Source organism: Homo sapiens, chromosome 1 (genome assembly GCF_000001405.40).
Source record: "Homo sapiens chromosome 1, GRCh38.p14 Primary Assembly".
In the NCBI taxonomy this organism is placed as follows: Eukaryota; Metazoa; Chordata; class Mammalia; order Primates; family Hominidae; genus Homo; species Homo sapiens.
This window is the reverse complement of record NC_000001.11, coordinates 227676537-227688050: the sequence shown is the minus strand read 5'-3', so window position 1 is coordinate 227688050 and position 11514 is coordinate 227676537. Positions and strand designations below refer to the sequence as shown.

Sequence of the window (11514 nt, the reverse complement as noted above, 5' to 3'; positions counted from 1 at the left end):
ACTACTTATGAGGGTTGTAGCCCTTGGAAGTGCTTGCATACCAATTTGATTCCACTCCTTTTGTGATCTAGTAAGACTCACACTTGCCCTGTCTCCTGCACTTTCAGAGTTTGGAGGTTTAGCATATAGTTCCTGAAATGGAAAATGTAAATATTGAAGCACATGTAAAATACCATCCAGGAGGAACTGGGAGATCTGAAGTTATTAGTGAGGTGAGCTGGGGAGCAGGGCTCAAGAAGTGGTAAGCTCCTACTCAGGCTGCCAGAGGTTACTATTTGTTGGCCCCATTGTCTTCCTAATGCAGAATAGGTAGAAGCTCATTTGTCAGCATCAGCAAGCTTGAACATCCCTTCTAGGGAGAAACTGATGCCTTTGAGTTTTAAGCCCTTCATTGCCCATATCTTGGGAGATAAAGCCTTTCAAGCACTTGTGTGATCATAGAAAACTGCCATTTTGTTCTGTTTTCTATATAGACTCATGGATCTTAGTCTCTTATACTCCCAGAGCTAGATAAATTAAGAGCTGAACCACGGGGAACTTTACAGGTTGGCTCCCATATATATGGTCCATACCCTACATTTCTCAGTGTGTTGAAAGAGTGTTGGGGGTTCCTTTCCAATTGTATGTTGTAGTGCCTAGGGCAGGCACTACAGTGCCCAATTGTGTTTTGGTATTTTCTACTCATGTATGGTTTTTTTTTCCAGATTTCCACTGCTTAGGAGTCTTAACTTATTTATGACTTTCTCCCAGAGGGAATTGAGCCTGAATAGATGTGTATTCATTGTATTCGTGGGCAGAAGGAGAGTTGGGAGCTTTGTCTTTGGCCACGTGGCTGTTGCCTCCTTTTAACATTAACCTTTGAATTGGGTTAACACATTTGCATTTAGTGTTATTTATGATGTGCTTGGATATATATCTGTCTCTTTATTGCTCTTAAAAGCCACTTGCAACATACAAATTATTTTTACATTTATTTGGATCCATCTGTGGATTTTGTGCATATTCTGGTTCTTGATCTTTGTCAATTATTACAATATTAGAGTTTCATAATATACATTAGTGCCAGGTAATGATAGTTATTCCTGTTGCTTTTATAATTCACAAATGTCTTGGCTGATTTTATATGTATATTTAACCTTTCAGATGCATTATAGTATTTTTTGTTTTGATCTCTTCTTCCAAAAACAAAGCATATTGACCTTTTGATGTCATAGCAATGTATTTATAGATTAATTTTGGGGAAAATGATTATCTTTGAAATGGTGAGTTTTGTTTACCTACACTCATAATGTCTTTTATGTCCCTCTGTTAATTTTTATCTTCTCATTCTATGTATTTCTTTTGAAAACATGCACATATGAAATACCACCTGCAGATTACCTCCAGGGGCAACTGGAGATTCTTAATCTCACATCTGTAGGCAGTCAAAAGTTGAAATCGTGAATCTTATACTTCTATCCAGTCCACAGGTGAAATTGTAGCAGGACGAGCCACAGACAAAACTCCTCACACACCGAGTTAAAGAAGGAAGGGGTTGGCCGGGTGCAGTGGCTCACACCTATAATCCCAGCACTTTGGGAGGCTGCGGCGGGTGCATCACGAAGTCAGGAGATTGAGACCATCCTGGCTAATATGGTGAAACCCCATCTTCACTAAAAATACAAAAAAAAAAAAAAATTAGCTGGGCATGGTGGCAGGCGCCTGTAGTCCCAGCTACTCAGGAGGCTGAGGCAGGAGAATGGCATGAACCTGGGAGGCGGAGCTTGCAGTGAACCGAGATCGTGCCACTGCACTCCAGCCTGGGCGAGAGTGAGACTCTGGCTCAAAAAAAAAAAAAAAAAAAAAAAAAGAAGGAAGGGGTTTATTCGGCTGGGACCATCAGCAAGACTCCTGTCTCAAGAGCCATGCTCCCTGAGTGAGCAATTCCTGTCCCTTTTAAGGGCTCATGACTCTAAGGGGGTCTGCGTGAGAGGTTCATGATTGATTGAGCAAGCAGCGGGTATGTGACTGGGGGCTTCATGCACCGGCAATCAGAACGAAACAGGACAGGGATTTTTACAATGTTTTTCTGTACAATGTCTGGAATCTATAGATAACATAACCAGTTAGGTCAGGGGTCAATCTTTAACTACCAGGCCCAGGGCGTGGTGCCGGGCTGTCTGCCTGTGGATTTCATTTCTGCCTTTCAGTTTTTACTTCTTCTTTCTTTGAAGGCAGAAATTCGGCATAAGACAATATGAGGGGTGGTCTTCTCCCTCATTCCCCCCACTTTGAGACTCTCACTCATTTTATTAGTGGGAGTTCTCACTTTTATCTTTACCATCTATGTCTTCCTGCATGACAGATCGATAGTGATTTATTGTAATACACTTGTGCTGAAGGATTCTGGTGAACTAGAGTAGCGATGAAACCTTTTACCATTTGAATGAGTGCAGGTAGTAAATAAGGGATCAGTAAGCAGGTTTCTATTACTACTATAATTTTTATTATAAGAGTTTTAAATCCTCCTAGCACTGGGAACCATTTTTAAACATGGCCTCAGGGTCAAATCTGTGCCACACTTGTACAGGCACATGTGCCAATTTCATCATATCTTTAACTATATCTTCGACTACTTGCCCCGATCATCTATGTGCAGGCAGCAATTGGTATGGTTAAATTTTTTACAGACTTCTCTCTCAGCTGCTAGTAAGTAGTCAAGAGTCAACCTATTTTGATAGATAGCATTTCTCATCTGAGTTTCTTGCCAGGCCAGAATAGTCAAGGCTCTGTTGGTCTTACTAGTGATGATTTCTAAGACAGCTTGTAACCGTATGATTCAGTTGAGCATGTAAATGGGAGTCCAGTATCCCCACGAGCCCTCTTGTGCCTAAGTAGCAGGCCTATAATATTGTATGATTCTCTCAGGGGGCCATTTATTATCTTTTTTATTTTTTTCATAGCTATGCTTCTCTTTTTGCAGGAAGCATAGACAGGGAAGCCCAGGAGTTCGCCTGTCTTTATGGGCAGTAGGAAGAAAGATGGTTTAATAATGCCAATAACACAACTACCTGCCTACTGGTCGGGTAATTTGGTGTAAGGTCTATGCCTACATATCCAGTATAATCCAGTGGGGGCTGTCCAGTCCCAGTGGGACTCCAGGTGGGTCTACACAGTTTGCAACTTTGGGAATCTAGTAAATGGATTTTTTTCCAGTATGGTTTGAACTCCACTAGGTCGCTGTTTTTGTAGTACTATTATATAGTTTTGGCCTAAGGCAGCTAAGTCTTCCTACAGGAAGGGTGAAGTCCTTCCCCACTCTTGCTATACAGTATTGTCTAATGATTGAGGCTTTTACGACCTAGAAGTTATCAGGGTGATTTTTTTTTGAGCTGGGAATTCATCAGGAACTGGGTCTGTAGGTACTAATCCTCTGGCTTCCTATGGCCACTGATCTCCTATTACAGTTCCTCCACATACATAACATGAAGTGACATTGAGAGACTGCGCTATATGCTTTGCTAATTGCAAAAACAAATTTCCTGTTTTTCCTGGAATTTCTGGTACTGGCACACTCTTAAAAACTGTGGTCATGGGAGGCTCAGATGGGTCATAACACACATCAGGTTGGTCATTTCCTGGGCTAAATACCTTGTGTAGAATAACATTATATAAACAAGTTGTTTTTTTTTTTTTGAGTTCCAGTACACTTATAATAACCCTAAAATAACAGGACCATAGCGACCTTTTGTCCTACCTCAGTGACTTGATGTATACACTGGGAACAGCCCTCAGTCTGAGGAAGGTCAGTTGAAGTCTTTACTGTGCAAGTCCAAATTTTAAGGAAAATGAGTCCCGTGATGAGTTTCCTCATGCTTCAGCCGTGCGTGGACCAGTCAGCTTTTGGGTGTGACTGGAGCAGGGCTTGTCATCTTCTTCAGAGTCACTTTGCAGGGGTTGGCGAAGCTGCTCCCATCCACGTACAGCTCCCAGTCTACTGATGTTTAAGGATGGTCTCAGAGGTTGGGCTCACTAGAATAAACTGAGTCCATTACCTCTATACAGTTATGTTCAACTGGGCTCTCTGATACCGGGAGCAAGGTGGCAGGGTTTAGGGTGTTGTAAACTTCAATGGTTACGCAGGGATTTTCACAGAGCAAACTTTGGTATCTAGTTAGTCTAGTATTCATTAGCTAATGATGTCATTTGGTATTTATTAAAGTCACCACAACATGGGGGGATTTTGTGTTTAGGTTTTGCCTAAGAGTTAGTTTATCTGCTTCTTGTGCTAACAGGGCCATTGCTGCCAGGGCCCTTAGACATGGGGGCCAGACTTTGGAAACCCCATCTAGTTGTTTTGAGAGATAGGCCACTGGCCTTGGCCAGGGCTATACGGTCTGGGTTAAAATTCCAACTGCCATATTTTCTCTTTCTACACATAGAGTGTAAAGGGTTTTGTTAGGTCAGGTAGCCCCAGGGCTGGGGCCGACATGAGTTTTTCTTTTAACTCATGAAACGCTTGTTGCTGTGGGTTGTAATAGATGTAGTTTATCTAATCTAATTTTTATTAACTGTCACCCACTAAAATATTGACCTAAATCCTGTAGCTATTTGATTTCAAGCTTTAAATTGATCTGGCTTTCTTTGTGGGGCTCCAATTGCATCCAAATAGATGTGAGAGTTGAAAGACGCATAAGGGGCTTCTCTCGCTTTACGATGTCTTATTTCTTCTCCCTCTGGTTGAGGAAATGCCAGGGTGAAAGGGATAGCCAAATGGACTAAAGCACAAGTGCCACTCTAGTTATTTGGCAGAGTGCCCAGTAAAGGTCCACCACAATACCACCACACATCCACTCGGGGATGAACAAGGGCAGACTGATTGATAAGCTCTTGAACATTCTTAAGCTCATCGCATTCCTTCAGGTCTCCAAGGAATGCTAAGTTTTCTCCTTGTTGTAAGAGACACAAAGTGAACTTAGTGTTGGGAGATGGAAGCTGGTTGGCCCTCGGGGGGCTGACCTGCAGGGTGCTGGACTTCAGGATATAGCAGAGAGAGCTTGGCATGACTTTACTCCAGGCTGTAGAATCCTGGAAAAGAGCTACCATGCAGCCTACGCCTGGTCGACTGGAGGACCACCTTAGTGGAAGGGGGACAATCTGGGCCTCTGGCCTGCCATGTGCACAAGCGTAACAATTGCTTTTGTTTAATGTGCAGATGGAATATTTGATCCATTTTAACCAGGCATTTGCATCTTGGTATCCTGTCTTAATTGCTAAAGTTTGTTTTAAGTCTTTAACTTCTATGATCCTCTAGTAAAATGAATGTATGGTTTTAGGAAATTACAAAAACCAGTTGGGGCAGTCCATCCTTGCTCTTTAGTCGTCCACAGAATGTTGGACCAACTATGGCATGAAAGCTCTACATCGGGGGCAAGACTCCTGGTTGGCACTGGGGTCTTTATCGAAATCTCCCCAGATTAAATGGTCCTAGTTTACTAATGCCCAGTCTGAGGAGGGTCAGGAGGGACAGAAGTACTTTTCTGAAGTAGAAAGCTGTCTTTGACTTGCAAGTCTCCACAGGGTATAACAAGGCAAGCATTAAATGCAATAGTTTGAGGCAAAATTGACTTGGTTATGTTAATAACTAGAGGGTCAGCAATAGAATGAGGAAAGAAGAAAGACTAATAGAATAGATGAAAAGAGTTACATTTTTCTTAGCTTTAGTTTGGTAGGGTTTTCCCCTGGGACTATGGCCCACGACTCTGGAGGGGATGGCGCTTTCTTGACTCGGTTGTGATGAGTCCATCCTGTTTTCACTGTATGAACAGCAGTCTCAGAGGTTAGCAGCACAAAGTAGGGTCCTTCCTAGGCTGGCTTGAGTTTTCTTTCTTTTCACCTTTTGATAAGAATGTGATTTTCAGGCTGGTGCTGGTTTACCGGAAATTCTAGGGGTGATACATGTGCTAAAAGACTTTTAGTTTTTGAGGGAAAGGAAAGTGGAAGATAAACCAGGTATATAATTTTAAAGAAATTGACCTTTTGTTTTAAATGTGGGGACCTTGGCAGTGGAATCTATAGTCCTTAGTGCCTTTTTACTGAGAAATTTCCTTCAGCACCTATTTTTATTAGTTTTTAAATCAAAGAAAGCCAAATACCATTTTACATCTAACAATGCTCTTTGTATGATTTTTATACCAGATAAGCTAAATTTTACCTTTATATTAGTGTGTTATTAATGTTAAACCTAATTTTAAGAAAACATTGTAGAGATATTTATCTAATTTTTAATGTTTGACCATAAGGTAAGATTTTATAGACTCTTTTTAACTTTTATAATTTTTGCTAAACAGCAGGTTGGTGTTTTAAGAAAAACCTGCTATGCTTTTATTTTAATGTCCAGTTTACAGAAAATCTGGATGATACCTCTTTAATTTTAGCCAATGTTTACACACAGAATTTTCTTTTCAATTAACATTTTAAAACTTGATTAAACCTTTAAAACAAAGTATACATATTTTTAACCTTTTAATGTAGGTAAAAATTTATATTCTTATGCCCTTATAATTCTTTTGCCAAAGGTATATTTTACTTTCTTAATACACCTTGCACATAAAGTGTTTTTGTTGCTGCTGTTGTTTTTTTAGTTTTACATTCAGGAGGCCTAGTTACTTTTAAATTATACAACATTTCTTGCATTAATTCTTTTTTTATAACGTTTTTTTCTTTCACGACTTTCTCAGACAATTCTTCGACATGCCTCAACTTTCTGACTTATTACAAATATTTCTTTCTTTAAAGAACCAGTTAATTTATTTCAGGACAAGAATTTACCATATAATACTCTTTTTACATAAATTTCTCCCTCCCCCTTTTTTTTTTTTTTTTTTTTTTTTTAGGATATTTCTGAACTGGTGAGGCATGCTCACAATGAGGTTTCCTCTAAAAGTTTTTTTTTTTTTTTTACTCTTTTTTGTTAGCAAAGTAGTTGCCGCTACAGATTGAATGGATTTGGGCCATCTGTGGGTTACTGGGTTAAGGATTTTTGATAGGAAGGCCTCAGTGCTTTCAGGATATGCCCTTGTTTACACTGACAACAAAGTGGTATTGGAGTGTTATAGGGTTACAGAGAATACCTTCAATTATCAATTACAGGTTTTAAATTTACCTTGGCTTTTAAAGGAATAGGGTACACTGTTCTTTTCTTAACTACTTGTATATCTCTCTCTTTTTTTTTCTCTTTGTCTCTCTTTGACTTTCCTTTTGCCCGTCTCTTCCTCTCTCTCTCTGTCTTTCTGTTTCTTTTTTTTTCTCTCTCTCTCCTCGACTCCCTCTTTGTCTGTCTCTTCCTCTCTGACTCTTCCTCTCTCTCTTTGCCTCTTTTCCTCTCTGTCTCTTTCCTTTCTCTCTCTCTGCTGGTCTTTCCTAGCCTCTGCCAGCTGCTTATGCTGCTGTTCTCTCAACCACTGTGTGTTCGGGGTGGGGGGTCTAAAACCAGCTGTAACCAAGTGTCTATGTACAGGAACTGGTCTGGGTGCCCTGCCTTACAGGTTACCTTGTGCCATACCTTTGAAACAAGGGACCTGTCCAGGCTCCCTTTTGAAGGCCAACCCACCTCTAATGCTGGCCAGTCTATCTTACACAAAGTTTTAAGTTTTCCTGGTGTCATAGTACTCCACAGTTTCCCTTAAATCCTTTTTTGAAATTTTTCAACATAGTTCCTAGTAGGGTGGGCTTATTTGTGCCTGACTCATGCTTCTTCGAGACAAAACACCACGCTCACATCACACACACACCACAAAACAAAGAACAGGTAAAAAGGGCACACGGTTCCCAAGACCAGTCCTGTCAAGCAATTCAAACCAAGTCAAAACAAAAACCAAAACCAAAGTGCTGATAAAGACATGCCGTGGGTGATCAGGCCACGCTTCCACTCAAATGGAGTGGGCAACTTCCCAAGACCAGTCCTATCAAGAAATTCAAACCAAGTCAAAACCAAAACCAAAATGAAACCAAAGTGCCGATAAAGGCACACTGTGGGTGATGAGGCCACACTTCCACTAAAACAGAGTAGGTGAGTTCCAAAGACTAGTTTTACCAAGTTTCAGATGTCCGGACTCCAAGTACCAGTTCCTTCCTGGTGTTCAGCCACTGCGTTGATCCCCCACGGGTGCCTGCCACACAATGCTCTTGTGAGGCGTCCCACTGGGGCAAATGCCTACCCGGGAGCGCTCTCAGGATCTGCATTTCTTGGGCTGGTTGAAGTCCCCCGCAGGGATGTTCCACAAGGCAGGCTTAAGCCACTTAAGAAGCTGCCTTGACCATCTGACATCACCTCATTTGCCAGTCAGGGAACCAAGAAATATAGCAGGATGAGCCGCAGACAAAACTCCTCAGACACCGAGTTAAAGAAGGAAGGGGTTTATTTGGCTGGGAGCATCGGCAAGTCTCCTGTCTCAAGAGCTGAGCTCCCTGAGTGAGCAATTCCTGTCCCTTTTAAGGGCTCACAACTCTAAGGGGGTCTGCATGAGGGGGTCATGATCAATTGAGCAAGCAGGGGGTACGTGAGTGGGGGCTGCATGCACTGGTAATCAGAATGAAACAGAACAGGACAGGGATTTTTACAATGCTTTTCCATACAATGTCTGGAATCTATAGATAACATAACCAGTTAGGCCAGGGTCGATCTTTTAACTACCAGGCCCAGGGCACAGCGCTGGGCTGTCTGCCTGTGGATTTCATTTCTGCCTTTTAGTTTTTACTTCTTCTTTCTTTGGGGGCAGAAATTGGGCATAAGACAATATGAGGGGTGGTCTCTTCCCTTAAAATGGTGACATATAACTTTGCCCTTTTCTATTTTTTCTATTTACTATTAACTCTTTTTTTTTCTATTAACTCTTTTCTATTTACTTCCTTTGGTCTCATTTTCATTTAAGCCTTTTTGGTCCTTGAATTGTTCTAGAAGTCATTTACTTTTTTTTTCCATAGGAGAGTGAGTTTAATTCAGTTTCTAATAGTAGTAGGTTATCTTGCTGGTAAGTTATGGGCATTTGTTTATTAACAGCTGTTTTAATTAATCTTTGTGCTAGTCCCCTCACACAAGGGGTAATACAACATCCCACTGCTGTTAAGACTCCTGCCACAATTATGAGAGATGTAAGGATTAAAGCTACCATGCCTTTCCATTTTTTCCATTTTCCATTTTCACATTCTTATTAATAGTTGACCATCAGAAGAGTCCTAAAACCCAGCAGCTATTTGGTTTTAGGCCTAAATTCATTAGGCACACCTCTAGGGACTCCAATTGAGTTAACATATGTATTGGGATTAAAAGAATTTGTCAAATCTCTCTGGTGTCAGTGGCCATGTGTATTTTTGGGTATCTTATGGAATGCCAGGGTGAAGGGAATGGCCAATTGGACTAAAGCACAAGTCCTAGTCCCATTGGATGGTAACAGGTTACAGAGGTTCCATTTCCCACAATACCACCAGACATCAGCCCGGGGTGTATGGAGAGCTGAGTAATTGCCATTGCTTGACTCACCAGTGATGTTTAGGATGTAGGCAGAAGTTGAGAGTTCTCCCACAGGATTATTGAACTCTTCCTCCTGCCTAGAGAGGCAAGAGAAGTGGTTCATATTCCCTATAGAGAACAAGGATATTGCTCTGGGATCTGAGCTCTGGAATGTGGGAAAGAGCGATCACAGACTCTTACAAGTCTTACTTCCGCATGCATCCTTGTCCTGGTATAGAACCAACATACAGTGTAGTCCCTTAGGAGGGGTATTCCATCCTAGGGGAAATGGAACCACCTGTGCCCAAGGTCATCCCACAGCAGTTACTCTTGTTGAGGGCTTGTACCAAAAATTTGACCAATTCGACCCAGGCGTTTATATCCCCATACCCTGTCTCAATTTCTAAGGTTTGCCTTAGATCCTTTACCATATTTTTCCCTTTTAGGGTCATTATTTGGTGGACTAAAGTGTTTATTAGGGTCTGGGGTTGTAGTCCCAGGCAAATGGGAGGTTGAGTTCTTGATTAGTTTGAGAACAAATCACCCTAGGGGGTCTTTCCCTGTGATTTCTGCCCCTAATGCATATATCCCAGATTCTACTTTTGGTTCTTGGTCTACAATGGCTGGATTGTCAATGGTGATGAGTATAGAATTGCATTTTAAATTCTGGCAGTTATTTGGCAGGGAGCCCTTGGACAGATGTAGTTTATTCTTTAAGGGTCTCCAGCTCAGAGTTACCTATTCTATGTTTACTGTTCAACCCTGAAATTGGGTAGTCCACCATACATTATCCCAGCTGGGGCAGGGTGATGCCCTACTGTAAACTGTATTTGGTTCAGGGAAAAGATATTTATCTGCCTGTGAGAACTGTCTCTGATTTTCTAAATTCCCACAAGTTAAAACCTGGCAGGTATCAAATCTTATATTCTGAGGTGCCATCGTCTTGGTCACATTAATTGCCAACCTGATTGGGTAGGGAAGAGTCCCCTGCCAGTTTCCATTTTGACCTTCTGCTCTTTGTATAGTAGCCCATCCCAGCCATATTAACTTCCAGAAATGGGGCCAGCCCATGTTTTCCTTTTAGATTTTTCCAAGAGTTAACTTTAAGGGTTCCTCAGGTGACCCATGCACTTTCCACTGGTCTTTTTCCTTGCCTTCTGGGGTCCCTTTTACCAGTCCCTTGACTTGAGTGTAGTGAGTCCACCTTTGTTCAGCTGTTTGCACATCCAGCCATCTTAGTGGTCAGGAGCACTTGATAGGGAGCTTCCCAACTTGGGTGGAGCTTGTCTTCTTTCCAAGTTTTAATCAGCACCAAGTCACCAGGCTGGAAGTGGTGAACCATGAACTCAAGAGGCAGAGTTTGAGTCAGTAGTCCTTTTAACCTAAGAGATGACAGGGTGGAGGATATGGCCAGTAAATAATTACTTAAGAATTGATTCTAGTTCAACCATTGTGGAAGTCAGTGTGGCGATTCCTCAGGGATCTAGAACTAGAAATACCATTTGACCCAGCCATCCCATTACTGGGTATATACCCAAAGGATTATAAAACATGCTGCTATAAAGACACATGCACAAGTATATTTATTGCGGCACTATTCACAATAGCAAAGACTTGGAACCAACCCAAATGTCCAACAATGATAGACTGGATTAAGAAAATGTGGCACATATACACCATGGAATACTATGCAACCATAAAAAATGATGAGTTCATGTCCTTTGTAGGGACATGGATGAAGCTGGAAACCATCATTCTCAGCAAACTATCGCAAGGACAGAAAACCAAACACCGCATGTTCTCTCTTATAGGTGGGAATTGAACAATGAGAACACATGGACACAGGAAGGGGAACATCACACACCGGGGCCTGTTGTGGGGAGGGGGAGGGGGGAGGGATAGCATTAGGAGATATACCTAATGTTAAATGACGAGTTACTGGGTGCAGCACACCAACATGGCACATGTATACATATGCAACAAACCTGCACGTTGTGCACATGTACCCCAAAACTTAAAGTATA

The 11514-nt window shown here is 41.6% G+C and overlaps 1 protein-coding gene across 1 annotated transcript in view; it reads right to left on the bottom strand.

Annotated features, from left to right (window-relative positions):
- Positions 1 to 8381: 8381 nt before the first annotated feature.
- The window catches only part of ZNF678 (zinc finger protein 678), a 116114-nt gene continuing 112981 nt past the window's right edge, over positions 8382 to 11514 (bottom strand). The window contains exon 6 of the transcript NR_102302.2: positions 8382 to 10872. The gene's annotated coding sequence lies outside the window, so the exon portion shown is untranslated. The remainder of the gene's footprint in view (positions 10873 to 11514) is intronic.